Source organism: Homo sapiens, chromosome 4 (genome assembly GCF_000001405.40).
Source record: "Homo sapiens chromosome 4, GRCh38.p14 Primary Assembly".
NCBI classification, from domain to species: Eukaryota; Metazoa; Chordata; class Mammalia; order Primates; family Hominidae; genus Homo; species Homo sapiens.
The window spans coordinates 182,725,869-182,740,655 of NC_000004.12; the positions used below are offsets into that span (position 1 = coordinate 182,725,869).

Sequence of the window (14,787 nt, forward strand, 5' to 3'; positions counted from 1 at the left end):
CTCAGGTGATCCACCCGCCTCGGCCTCCCAAAGTGCTGGGATTACAGGTGTGAGCTACCGCGCCCGGCTTAATTTTCTTAAAACATGATTTTAGCTTTTTTCCAGAGAAATAAACATGCAGTTTCAAATGGTTAACAACTCATTATCTTAGAAATATAACAGACATGAAAATACATGCTATCATAAGGAAACCGTGTGTAATCAGATCTGCTTATCAGAAATCCTGACCCACACATTTTCATGTGTATGGAAATTATGGTAACAAAAAACTTAAAATATTAGTGTGAAAAGAGTCCAACTTTATAAACTTAATTCAGATATTCACTTATTAAGCCTTTCCCCCCTCCCCCAACTACAAAGGAAATAGTGAAGAGATTTTTAGTTACTGTCTCTGGATAAGCTAGGTCTCTGTCAATTTCAGGTGACAGAAAATTGAATTCAAACAGACTTAAGGAAAAAGGGAATACGTTTCTATAACTGAAAAGCCCAGGAGGTCAAGCGCAGCTTATGTCTGTGTCTGACCTGTTAGTTTTTGCTCCAGCCCTTGCTCCGCTTGCCTGGGGATGGCTCCATTCCCAGCAGCTTCTATACCGGCAGCAAGGTGGCTGCAGCAATCCCAGTCACACAGCCTCACAGAACAAGCCTGGTGGAGGGGTAAGAATCTCTTTTTAGATTGTTTGTGAAATTCGCTCTTGTTAGACATGTTAGGTCACCTGTACATTTCTGAACCAAACAGGAAGGGAAGGTTATGCACATGGCCTGAGAGGTGGGGAAGGCCGGATACGCAAACGAAAAGTTTCATCTGTTGCCCAAAGAAAGGGAAAGGGTCTGGGGAAGCACAGCGTCCGCTACTTTTATTCTTCAGATGGCCAAAATGACCTGCTGAGCCAGGCCTTCTCACGTCTTGTTTCTTACCTTACCGTGTTGTTGCTGACCTGCCTTTTAGACTGGGCAATTTAATTCAACTTTGTCTGTTTTCTTTTATCTCAGTTTGCTGTCAGATAATGAAGGAGCAAGCTAACATTCTATTAATAAGAATAGCCTAACTTAAATCAATGGCTAGTATAGTATTTTTTTAAAAAAAGACTTTATTTTAATTGTATAAATAAAACATAATGGTCATCTAGATATTTTCAGCTGAGCTTGCCATCACAGTGGTCAGACCCAGACTTGATACTTAAGTTGGAAGATTTTAAAACTATTTTGTCAGTTCTCCTAAGAGTGATTAAAGTCTTCAGAAACTGATATTTTTATTAATCTATACCAATAAATGTAATTACCAAGGAGATAAAAATTCATGTTTTCAGCTGGGCTGAGTGGCTCACACCTATAATCCCAGCACTTTGAGAGGCCTAGGCGGGTGGATCACTTGAGGTCTGGAGTTCGAGATGAGCCTGGTCAACATGGTGAGACCCCGTCTCTACTAAAAATACAAAAATTAGCCAGGCATGGTGGCAGGTGCCTTTAGTCCCAGCTTCTCAGGAGGCTGAGGCAGGAGAATCACTTGAACCAGTTAGGCGGAGGTTGCAGTGAGCTGAGATCGTGCCACTGCACTCCAACCTGGGTGACAGAGGAAGACTCAGTCTCAAAAAAAAAGAAAGAAAAATTCATGTTTTTCAACTGGTCAGTAAAGCCTGACCTTAAAGGATAATGTTATCAAATGATCATAACCTGAAACACTCAACCACTAATGGATGGTTATAGCTTTTAAACAGGATACTTGCATGGGCCATTGAGTGTAGTTTCCTTCTGATGCTCCTGGAGAAAGCACTGGCAAATTCTTCTCATCCATTATTCCTTTTATGTCATCAATACTATAGGTCAATTTTTCATGATGGATTTCTTATTATTTCTAATATTATGGCTGATTTACATTTACCACATTTTAATTAATACCTCCATTTTAGTGAGTGTATTCTAGGAGTCCAGGCTCTTGTTTAAAATTTGGGAAATGCCTGATTTTATCTGGAACACACTTAACCTTCCTTAGAAGAACTTTTTTTTTTTTTTTTGAGACAGTTTTGCTCTGTTGCCCAGGCTGGAGTGCAGTGGTACGATCTCAGCTCACTACAACCTCTGCCTCCCAGGTTCAAGTGATTCTCCTGCCTCAGCCTCCTGAGTAGCTGGGACAACAGGCACCTGTCACCCCGCCTGGCTAATTTTAGAGATGGGGTTTCACCATGTTGGCCAGGCTGGTCTCGAACTCCTGACCTCAGGTGATATGCCCACCTCAGCCTCCCAGAGTGCTGGGATTACAAGCATGAGCCACTGCACCGGCCAGAAGAGCTATTTTATTGAAAGGTGGTTGGCTCATCTCATCCATTTTATATTGATTTGTGTTTGCTACACTTCATAAACTTTCACTTTCTGACCCTCTCCCAAATTTTAGAGCTTCGTCCTACATAGATTCCTATTTATCATACACACTTACTGTGCTAACTCCTAGTGCATTTTCTCTAAAATATAGAATATTTGAGTAGCTTTACTTACAACTAATCCATATTCCTTCATACTCCTACCAATAGATTGTTCTAATCACTAATTTTTTTATTTCTTACTCAGAACAAACATTATATGATTCTTTTCAGCCATCTCTAATCCAAATATTTACTCTCTATGAAGGCAGATGCAAGTAGATTTATGTGTCACATACTGATGGGGATATGTTCTGAGATAGTTGCTGTTAGGCAATTTCATCATGGTAGAGCATCATGGCATGTACTTACGCAAATCTAGATGGCACAGCCTACTGCACTCCTAGGCTACCCATCTGTACAGCATGTTACTCTACTGAATACTGAGGCAGTTGTAACACAGTGGTATTTGTGTATCTAAACCTAGAAAAGGTACCGTAAAAATACAGCATTATTATCTATGGGACCACTCTTTTATATATGGTCTGTCATTATGTGGCATGTGACTATTGTATTTCTATTTCTTCTGGTTTCAAAAAGTATGCCTCATAGAAATTACTATCAGATAGTCGGGAGAAATCACTTGATGTGAAAAAAAAAAAAACAGTCAAGAAACAAAACTGATTCTACATTATGGCATCAAAAGGAAAATTCTCTTACTGGGGAACATTTCTCTCTACAGATGGACTCATTGACTGCATGGATCCCGATTGCTGCCTACAGAGTTCCTGCCAGAATCAGCCCTATTGTCGGGGACTGCCGGATCCTCAGGACATCATTAGCCAAAGCCTTCAATCGCCTTCTCAGCAAGCTGCCAAATCCTTTTATGATCGAATCAGTTTCCTTATAGGATCTGATAGCACCCATGTTATACCTGGAGAAAGTCCTTTCAATAAGAGGTTAATGCTTCTTTTCCATATGTAGATTTGTAATGATGTTATCAACAGTTACATACACTTATGTGAAATACTCATGACTGTGAACCTGAGGAAAGTGCTGTTTTTTAAATACAGTTTTTCCTCTTTCTGCAGATTCTTCACCAAACTTTGTATTTCAAGCATTTTTGACACAGTTCACATACTTTGTCAATTTCAGTACCTGAGACATAACAGGACATTATATTAAAGAGTCAATAAATCTTCATTTAACTAGTTGATTTTGTTAGCACAGTTGGAAATGTTTCAAAAGAAGCAGTGAAAAGACCCCAAAAGGCAGAACAGAAGTGCACTTTTTTTTTTTTAGCTGAGCTCACTAAATAATATAAATTATGAATGAATGTAATGGAACTGCTGACGGCATGGCAGTAAGATTGCATAAGCTGTTTGACTGGTGCTTTGCAGAGCAGTAATGACCTGAAAGTAAAGCAGTAAGTGAAAGCAGGTGTCTTGTGTCTCACTGAGCAAAAGAAGATGATTTACACCAGAACTCCTGGGTCTGCAGTAATTTAACAGCATTAATGCAGTTATAGCCAGCAGTTGATTCAAAGTTGCTGTACAAATGTTCCTTATCGCCCCCTTAAATCTTATACTTCTTGGTCCCTGAAGATTTACTGATTGCCTCAGAATTAATTGGAAAGTCTACTTTTCTTCATGTGAGCACCATATATATGACTTATGAAAAAAGCACAGAGTTTATCATTTTAAAAATTCATCTCTAAATTATTAGTCTTGATAACGCTCCAAAAAACAGATTGCCACAAATTAAAACCCAGGATAAACACAAGCCCTTTAGAGAATATGCGTTACACTGAATTAAAAGGGACATTGTCTTGGGAGTATTTCAGGTCTGATTTTTGTGAATAACGATGGATTGCATAGCATAGTGTTATTTTATCCTTAGGTTGAATTATCTATAAATCATGATAATGTTGGCCTGAAAAGACAGATGTTCATTCTCATTCTTCTGCTTTTCCAACAGCCTTGCATCTGTCATCAGAGGCCAAGTACTGACTGCTGATGGAACTCCACTTATTGGAGTAAATGTCTCGTTTTTCCATTACCCAGAATATGGATATACTATTACCCGCCAGGACGGAATGTGAGTTAGTCCCATCACACTATCTCTGAAGGATTTGAAATATAAAAACTAGACCTTCCTGTACCACTGTCATGTTTGACTGTCCTTTTAAATATGGAAATGCAGCAACTTTTTAGACTCTACAAACTTGTGACAGTACATATGGCAGAGATTTAAAGTCATATACTCACATACTTCTTCAAAAGTTGATTTTATTTTCTAAGGCATGGTAATACTGTAGTTTTGTAGGAGAATGCTCTTTGTCTCAGCAGATGTATGTTGAAATCTTTAGGGGTAATATTTTATAATGTCTGTAACTTGAGCTCAGATGGTTCCGAGAAAAGAGTCAATGGAAAGCAAATTTGGAAAAAAAAATTGGTGAACTTGGTGAATACACATAGGACACAAGAGTATTTATTGTATAACTCTTGGAATATTCCCATAGATCTGAAAATATTTCATATAAAAGTTGGGAGAAAAAGTTGATTTTCTTTATAAAGCATATTAACTTAAGGAGGTGTGTATTGGTAGTTATGTGGGATCCAGACAATTCACTAAGCATACCTTGTTCTTTCTTAGGTTTGACTTGGTGGCAAATGGTGGGGCCTCTCTAACTTTGGTATTTGAACGATCCCCATTCCTCACTCAGTATCATACTGTGTGGATTCCATGGAATGTCTTTTATGTGATGGATACCCTAGTCATGAAGAAAGAAGAGAATGACATTCCCAGCTGTGATCTGAGTGGATTCGTGAGGCCAAATCCCATCATTGTGTCATCACCTTTATCCACCTTTTTCAGATCTTCTCCTGAAGACAGTCCCATCATTCCCGAAACACAGGTAAAATATTCTCACAGGCAGTACTTGTAAATACAAGATCTTCAGATCATGTTTTGCCAGAGAATCTTAAAAATAGGTTATAGAGTCCGGGCACGGTGGCTCACTCCTGTAATCCCAGCGCTTTGGGAGGCCGAGGTGGGCAGATCATGAGGTCAGGAGTTCAAGACCAGCCTGGCCAACATAGTGAAACCCCATCTGTACTAAAAATACAAAAAAAAATTAGCCGGGCATGGTGATGGGCACCTGTAGTCCCAGCTACTTGGGAGGCTGAGGCAGGAGAATCGCTTGAACCCAGGAGGCAGAGGTTGCAGTGAGCCGAGATCACACACTACTGCACTCCAGCCTGGGTGACACAGTGAGACCCTGTCTCAAAAAAAGACAAAAACAAAACCAAAAAAACCCACGGATTATAGAATTCCAGTGCTATCTTTAAATAATTCTATAAGACCCTGTCTCAAAAAAAGACAAAAACAAAACCAAAAAAAACCACGGATTATAGAATTCCAGTGCTATCTTTAAATAATTCTATAGAATGAATATATAGTGGGTGTTGGGGTGTGTGTGTGTGTGTGTGTGTGTGTGTGTGTGTGTGTGTGTGTCCTACAGTAGACATTGTTATAGTAGGATATCTAGTTATTTCTTTTTTCTTTTTTTTTTTTTGAGACGGAGTCTCGCTCTGTCGCCCAGGCTGGAGTGCAGTGGCACGATCTCGGCTCACTGCAAGCTCCACCTCCCGGGTTCACGCCATTCTCCCGCCTCAGACTCCTGAGTAGCTGAGACTACAGGCGACTGCCACCAAGCCAAGCTAATTTTTTGTATTTTTAGTAGAGGCAGGGTTTCATCATGTTGGCCAGGATGGTCTCCATCTCCTGACCTCGTGATCCGCCCACCTTGACCTCCCAAAGTGCTGGGATTACAGGTGTGAGCCACCGCACCCGGCCTTTCTAGTTATTTCTTAAAGATCTACTCAAACAAAATACTTTTTCTTCAGGATATACCTTATATATTTATTAATAATAGTCAAATGAAACTGTAGCTTAAACTCAATCACTAATAATGTCTTTGTTCATTTATTTATTTATTGAAAAAAAACTTTAGTGCCTAAATGTACCTGACAGCTTGACTGACATTGTACCAAGTGCTACTGACACCACTCACTATTGCACATGGCTATTAGCCTCAATAACTTACTGTTTAATTATTGTTGTCAGTAAAAAGTGTTTTGGAAAAGGTAGTTTTGACAGAAAATATTCATTAATATAACTTTTTAAGAAATAGCCATGCATTCCCCATTCGTTTCATCTACTGAAATAGCTGAGGATTGTGTTCCGTCCCACATGTTTCCAGTTAGAAATAACTTTCAGATCTTAAAAGTAGGATGTTAGGTGTAATAATAATGGATTTTGCCAGGCGGCGTGGCTCACTACTATAATTCCAGCACTTTGGGAGGCCAAGGCAGGAGGATGGATCGAGCCCAGGAATTTGAGACCAACCTGAGCAACATGACAAAACCCTGTCTCTACAAAATATACAAAAAATTAGCCAGGCGTGGTGGCATGCACCTGTAGTCCTAGCTACTCAGGATGCAGAGGTGGGAGGATCACTTCAGCCCAGAGAGGTCAAGGCTGCATGAGCCATGAGTGCCACTGCACTCCAGCCTGGGTGCTGGGAGTGAGACCCTGTCTCAAAAATATATATATAATCATAATAGACTGTATTCGTAAAGAGGTAAGGAAAAATCTGTGGTCATTAAAGTACACTAGCACATAGCAGCTTTGTCATATTCATTCTCCCGATATTTCTTGAAAACCCGTTCTGTAGCAGGCGCTGTTATGTGAGAACAAAGCAGTAAACCACTCAGATGAAGTACCTGCTCTAACTGAGCTTCCCAACTCATGAGTGGAGAGAGGCAGTCAACAAGAAATATGTCAGGTTGCGATGAGACTTATCAAAAAATAATAAAGCAGGGGACAGTGGATAGAGGTATGATCTTACATAGTATAGTTTGAGAAAATCTCTTCAATAAGGTGACATTTCAGCACAAACTTTAAGAAAGTAAAAGAATAAGCCCTGAAAATAGAAGGGGATTCTTGGCTTGTTCAAGGAGTGGCAAAAAGGACAGCAGGCACAGCTGGAGTGAAGGCGGCAGTGAATAAATCACAAGCCATTGGAGACCATGGCAAAGATAACTCTTTGAGAATTGGAAGCCATTGAAGGTGTTTAAGCAGAGCAATGACAGTCACTGATTTCCTCCTTTAAGGAATTTCTATGCTGAGAATATCCTATATTGGGCAAGGGTGGAAACAAGGAGGCCAGTTAGGAGGCAACCTCAGTTGTCCACAGGAGAAATTATGGTGGCTTGGACAAAAGTCTTTGGAGGTAGAAGCAGACATGGAAGAGTGGAGTCCAGGGAAGAGGTTGAAACTAAAGAGGTAAATTTGGGAGTCATTCGCATATAAATATAAAGCATAAACCTAGGGAGGGAGCACAGATAGAGACTACAAGAGGTGAGCCAGAAAGGTCTAGGATAACAAAAAGTCAAAAAGGCTGACAGGCAAAGATGTTGCAATAGCAACACCTCAGGGATTCATTGTAAAATGGTCAAGCCAACTTTGAGCTGAAACTTTTAAGAAGTTCATTGTAACCTCAATCAATTTAATACTTCCTCCCCAGGCCCATCTTGCAGGAACTCTAAACTTCGTAGTCAGTCCTAAAATAGACTTTACCTAGAGTCAGTATCTGTCTGTAGGTGCCAAATTTCTAGCAAACTAGGACATTAAAATGGGTTTCAGATAGTCAACAATTCCATGAATACATGGAGTCTTTTCTCCATTCGTTCATTCATTCATTCATGCGGTAGGCAAATATTTCATAAAAATTTACTGAGAGCCTACTATGTACAAGGTACTTTACTAAGATAAAAAGAAGAAGACGTGCATCCTGCCATTCTAAATGCGATAAAGATTTTAATGAAGAATGATACAAGTTCAAAGGAGAGGTCAATTCCTAAGTAAGCCAAAGAAGGAATCACTGAGGAGTTTGGGCTGAAACAAGGATTAGGCTGGAGAGGGAGGAAAGCACGTTTCAGATTGAAGATGTGTAAGCAACAGTGGAGTGGCAAAAACAAGTCATGTTGTAGAGGGGACAATGGGGAAGGAGGCAGAAGATGACCCCAGGGCCAGCTGATGAATGGCCCTGAGAAGCAATCTAGTGGAGACCTTGAATTCCTTAGGTGATGCGGAACCAAGACCCCAGTGGAGTTTTTTCAGCATTTCTCTAAAGTTAACTCAAGTGGCAAAACGCACTTGAAAGAAGCGCAGAAGATATTGATAGAAAAGAGAAATGAGTGAACAGGCTGTTCTTGTGAAGTGTATATCCATGCGTATCCAGGGCTCAGATGGAGAGGGCCTCGCAATCACAATGGTAGTGGAAATGAAGAAGAGGGAACACATTAGACAGGGATTGGAAGATAGAATTGGCAGGACATGGTTCCTAACCGAATGTTTAACGGGATCAGGAATAGGATTTAAAGCTCACGCAGCTGGCAAGAGTAGGCCTGATGGTTTATTTTCCCACTTTGGCTGGATTTACCTTTCCTACTAATGCAAAATAACATGGTCAAGTTAAATTACATCAGAGAAACACATGCTTTAATGAACAAAATTACAGATATTAAAATCAAGTACAACACATGATATTTTGAAATAGAGAGGCAGCTTCTGGAAGGTCACAGGAAATACATATAATATTCGTAAGAGAGTCCCTTACTCATGGAAAACCTGTCAAATGTATCGGAAATTATTTTGAAAATAAGAGGAAGCAAATGATGGGCTTTAGGGTTAAATCACATGTTATCAGGGTCATTCTGGAGTCACAGAATCTATTTTTCAAATTAACTCCTTGATATTTCACTGATTATGGGAGAACAATGAGTTATCTTTAAACCATTCACCCTAACAACCTACAGTCTTACAAAAGTACCCTCAATCTTAAATTTAATGGTTTCCCTGGGTCTAAAAAGTTTCTATATGTTTGTAAACTATTTTGCTTAAGACCGTTTTGTGGCTGAATTCAGTCAGCATGTTTGAAGGAAAACTCCAATGGTAATAAATTCGTGTATCTACATTAGAAATGCCTCTTACTGTACTGTACTGTACCACATCGCGTCCCTCTTCATGCCAACACTGACTGACAGGCCAGAATGGAAGCTTCCTTCGTCCATTCATTCATGCTGCTTCCAACTGTGTGATTGTTTATATTGAAGCTGACAGCTCCACCCTCAGTACAAGGGGTCTTGGAGGGTTTTACTGAAGTTATTAAAGTTTGGAGGTGGCAGATAGACATCATCTTTAACTGTTCTATGTGGAGGTGGTGGGGAAAGGGGAAACATTGCTGAACACTGAATCACTATTCTAAGATCTTTCCAACATGAAAAGGCAGCCCTTTCTGTCTGAATAGTGAATCTTGATAGGGCAATATAAGGAAGCCTTTGAGAGTACTGTTTAATTCTTCGTGGAGAAAGTAGTGAGTTCCTGGTGCACGTTCTTGAACACAGATAGCCTTGCACTTACAGCCTATGTAGAAAGCCTATGAAGAGCTGTTCTTATTCACCAAACTAACAGGAGCATTGGTAAAGAGAATCTGAACTCTTTAGAAAAATTGTGTATGCTGCCTAAAATACATTTTTCAAAATAAGTAATGTTTTGGCATAATGTATTTTGCATTTCTTAATATAAATATTGTCAGCATACACTGACTGGTAATCTATGGGGTTAAGAGTATAATTTTTTTTAATTTGTAAAGGAGATAATTCTTATGCACATAATTATATTCATTTTTACAGTCCAGTTTCAAATAAAAAAGTGTGAATTGATATGTTCTATGTGCATTTAATAACATATTAGTTGCTCTCTAGGATAAATTGTATGGAGCTTTAAAATATTAGCTAATTTACCATCATATCAAAAATCCATGGTAAGTTGGAGCTCAATCTTTAATTATGACAATGTGCTATTATTACATTACCTCTCAACATGGATATGGAATCTGCTACAATCTAACCCAAACGATTGGGTGTTTTTTGTTATCCTTACTGTCTTTATAGGCTGTGACCAGCCAGCTGATGAGGCTATAGGTACTGGTTTAGTCCCTAAATGAGCCAGCTGGCACAGGCCAGATCTTTGGCCTAGACTGCATCCCTGTTCTGAGCTAACCATCTTACAAATGTCTGCTCTAATTCTCCAGGGTGATGGGGTGAAAGATGGGTTAGTGAGAATCCACTGTGACTACTGCACTAACAAGTCAGTGCATGTCAGCCTGATGGAGCAGTCACAGTGTTTCCCGTATGAAGAGTAGCACCCGAGGTATGATTAACTCAGAATAAATGACAGGAGGCTTTTAGGAAGAGACATTTGGGCTGGCAGCAGAGTTATTTTTAATTATTGAATAAGATAACAGCTCAAATGCATATTTGTGAATAGTGATTCTTTTGTGTTTTATTTTAGTTGCTCTAAAGCAGCTAAAATAAGCACATTGTCTTTGTGAGTAAGTAAACTAAGACACAGAGAGTCACTATTCACAAATATAGTGAATATGTGCTACATAAATATATTTTATCTAATCGTCATACGTGATCACAGTTTGAAACTTCTGCTTTATTCAAACTTAGGTACTCCACGAGGAAACTACAATTCCAGGAACAGATTTGAAACTCTCCTACTTGAGTTCCAGAGCTGCAGGGTATAAGTCAGTTCTCAAGATCACCATGACCCAGTCTATTATTCCATTTAATTTAATGAAGGTTCATCTTATGGTAGCTGTAGTAGGAAGACTCTTCCAAAAGTGGTTTCCTGCCTCACCAAACTTGGCCTATACTTTCATATGGGATAAAACAGATGCATATAATCAGAAAGTCTATGGTCTATCTGAAGCTGTTGGTAAGTTCCATATAAATCTTTGCTGCAGTGAAGTTTTTCTCAAAGCCAGAACTATCATAAATTAATTGTAACCCAGGGAAGTCAGTGGATAAACAGAATATAAAGAGAATAAGGTTGTCCTAGGGATATTATACCTTGGCTGGTTTAGATCTACCGTGGGAAAAGGAATGTACTCCATGTGGCAAGAAGAAGAAAATATCAGCCTTTTCTGGCTGAAATTATGTTGTAGAGGAATTCTGTGAATGAGGTTTCAGCTTGTCACATCCTTTCTCCCCCCATGTTTCTTTCCTTATTTTGTCCCTTTCTTTTTCCATTTTCTTCTTCTCTTTATAACTTTACCTCCCTGGATTTCCTTATTTGTTTTTGTTTTCTGTGTCTAACACTAATGTAGTTTCAGTGCATACTGATGTTTAACAGGATAGCAGACATTTGTGTCCATGAATTACATCAGCTGTTTTCACTAGAACGGCCGGTTCATTCAATGAAAGGATAATCAAACCAGTTGTTTTATTGAATGACTGAACAGTGCAATCAAAGTGTGACATGTTGAGAGACAGACAGAGAGAAAGAGAATAGGTATATAGTATAGCTTCAAGCTCAAGCTCAGAACATAAAAAACTAAAGAATGATATGTTTTTGTTTTAATTAGTATTTACCTTAAAATAGAACATTGTACTCTGAAATTAATAGGTAATTTGGATTTGAATTAGTTCAAATCAATCCAGTAATTGCCACTTCTCCTTTCATTTTTTCTCAATTTTAAATTCCCTGTTTCATTGTGAACTCTGGAAAGCTTTTCATCTGTGGTTTATTCATATTACTGCTAGTTTGTTTATTTCTGATAATAATATGTCAGCATAATGTCATAATCTGGCTAGCTTTTTTGTTCCATTGAACCTTACTTATCATAAATATTTTCCATAATTTAACACTCTTGAGTGAAAACTAAAGAGTTCTAATTATTCAGATGGCAAACGTTATTTTTAGTTGTTATCTAATCACTGTTTGAGACTGACTGATCTAATTACTTAACCGGCTGCCCAATCTGGACTTTATTTTGTGCTGTGAACCCCTCATGAAGGGGTGGTATGGGGAAAAAAACACTCATTTTCTATTAAATCAGTGGAAAATAATATTTGGAGATCTTTTTTTAAAAAAAAATCTTTGGTGAAATCTTCTTAAATTAAAAAATAAACTGCTCATAAATAAGTGGAAATACAGTCTCAGAACACAGATGTGAAAAAGGCAGTTTTTTCCAAGTAAGAAAATAAATTGCATTTCCCCCAGTCGTTGGAAAGATGAGCTGTGATTTGTTTGGATTCCAGTGTCAGTTGGATATGAGTATGAGTCGTGTTTGGACCTGACTCTGTGGGAAAAGAGGACTGCCATTCTGCAGGGCTATGAATTGGATGCGTCCAACATGGGTGGCTGGACATTAGATAAACATCACGTGCTGGATGTACAGAACGGTAAGCTCTTGTTCATAGATAACTGATGTTGTAATGTATTGTTCAGAGATAGCTAATGTTGCCCACTTTCCAACTCATGAGATTGTAGCAACATTTTATGCTATCCATGCTGTAGGATTAGAAATGGCAGAAAAAAAATAAAGGTGAATTTTTAAAGATTATAAAAGCCTAAAGTGGGAACTGTATAATACTTTCTTAATATACTTTAAAATGTTCATGAATTGATCGCCAAAATGATTTTCCCATTAGAATGTGAAAGACTGACTTTGGTGTTGTAATGGAAGATCTCTGAGTGGGAGTCGTCAGCACAGATTCACCTAGAGTGTCTCATTCTACAGTGAGTCAGTGAGTGTGAGCCAAAGTACTTTAGAAAGGTTTACCAAAAATGGAGGGAGGGGGGATTTGTTTTTTAAAATAAAGAAAAAAAAATCATGTGACTTCACCAAAATATTTTTAGTAGATTTTAATTCTCGGGTAATTATTCTGAGTATCTAGATTTTTTTTTTTCAGTTCTTCTCAGACTATTAGGGAAATAAAGCATTCTGCCACTCAAATGGGGTCACATATATTGTTACTTGACTTGGTGAATATTAGGGGAAAAAATGAATAATCTGAGAAAAAAGCAAGAATCAAAAGCGTTCCTAGGAGTAGACCTGATAATGTCCTAGTGAATATGCTCTGAAGAAACATGTTTCAAATGCCGCAGACCAAAAGAGGAGTATTTGCAAAATATGACCAGCTTAATCTCATCAAGAATATTATTTATATGAAACACAATTCTGTTGTCTAGACTGTGTTTCCAACATTTTGCCCACATGCTAGCTGCATCTCAGACAACCTGAAGGGTGCTTTGCTGGAAAAGCAGGACCGTAAGTTAATCTATTATACTTTAGCATCCTGTCCTACACCATATCATACTAGTACTCTACTTTTACTGATAGCCAGAGAAAAAAGTCACAGTCTCAGCAAAATAATCTAACTCTTGACTTTGCAGAGGTTTTTGGAAGGTTCAGAATATTGACTTGACCATGTACTACAATTAAATGTTTATAGCTAATGGTCAGTTTTTCATATTAATGTTGCTTCAGTGTTCATTCCTGCTTGAAACAATTTTTTTGTGTGTGAGTGTCAGAGAGGGTGCATTTTAACCTTCCAAATATATACAGAATAAAGTAGTTTTAAGACCATTACTTGAAAATGCTCGTGCTGGGCCTGATGCAGTGGCTTATGCCTGTAATCTCAGCACTTCAGGAGGCCAAGGCAGGTGGATCACTTGACGTCAGGAGTTTGAGACCAGCCTGGCCAACATGATAAAACCCTGTCTCTACAAAATACACAAAAATTAGCCATGTGTGGTGATACGCACCTGTAGTCCCAGCAACTCGGGAGGCTGAGGTGGGAGAATCTCTGGAACCCAGGAGGCAGAGGTTCCAGTGAGCTAAGATCGTGCCACTGCACTCCAGCCTGAGTGACAGAGTGAGACTCCGTCTCAAAAAACAAAAAAGGAAGAAAATGCTAGTGCCTTCCCTCCAGGAAATAATAGTCTGAGAAAACCAGTAGTAAGGAAAAACAAACAAAAAAGCAGAAAAACCCTTCCCTGCTTCACTATTTTATAGCAGTATATTAAGCTCTACACCCCTTCCAGTTACGTCCTGGACATCAGGATGCAGTTCAGTTTGCACCCCGAATTAAACAGAGCGGATAACTAGTGCCACATGCAGCACACATTGAAAAGGTGGGACTCCTGACTAAGCAGGGGACTCCAGTGTTCTCTCAGAGCCTCTCTTAACTCATCAGTGGTGTCTGAAGCAGTAGTAGTTTCATTCTGTTATATTAGTAGCACAAGGTTCAATCATGGTCTTTTAAAATGCGAAGCCATATGGCAAACATGCTAGTAGCTGCTCTTGATGAAATTGTGTAAAATTATATTTCACACAGTTTGAACATATTTCTGTATTCCTTCAGAAACCCTCTAAAAACAAAACTAGGGGAAACGTCTCTAGATGCCATTTAGTTATGATGAGAGTATAGGGTAAAGTTCATAACCAGTTAGCTACAGGATTTCACTCAAGAGATTACGAATCAATAGGAAAACTACAGGCATCTCTGTA

At 38.8% G+C, this 14,787-nt stretch overlaps 1 protein-coding gene across 31 annotated transcripts in view; it reads left to right on the forward strand.

The window, feature by feature from the left end:
• TENM3 (teneurin transmembrane protein 3) overlaps nucleotides 1-14,787 on the forward strand; it is a 1,355,412-nt gene that overhangs the window by 1,278,256 nt on the left and 62,369 nt on the right. For all 31 annotated transcript variants that reach the window (XM_017008385.2, XM_017008389.2, XM_017008390.2 and 28 more), the window contains 5 exons: nucleotides 3,097-3,313; nucleotides 4,332-4,451; nucleotides 5,010-5,271; nucleotides 10,940-11,207; nucleotides 12,533-12,676. In XM_017008385.2, the coding sequence (XP_016863874.1) occupies nucleotides 3,097-3,313; nucleotides 4,332-4,451; nucleotides 5,010-5,271; nucleotides 10,940-11,207; nucleotides 12,533-12,676 (1,011 nt within the window). The remainder of the gene's footprint in view (nucleotides 1-3,096; nucleotides 3,314-4,331; nucleotides 4,452-5,009; nucleotides 5,272-10,939; nucleotides 11,208-12,532; nucleotides 12,677-14,787) is intronic.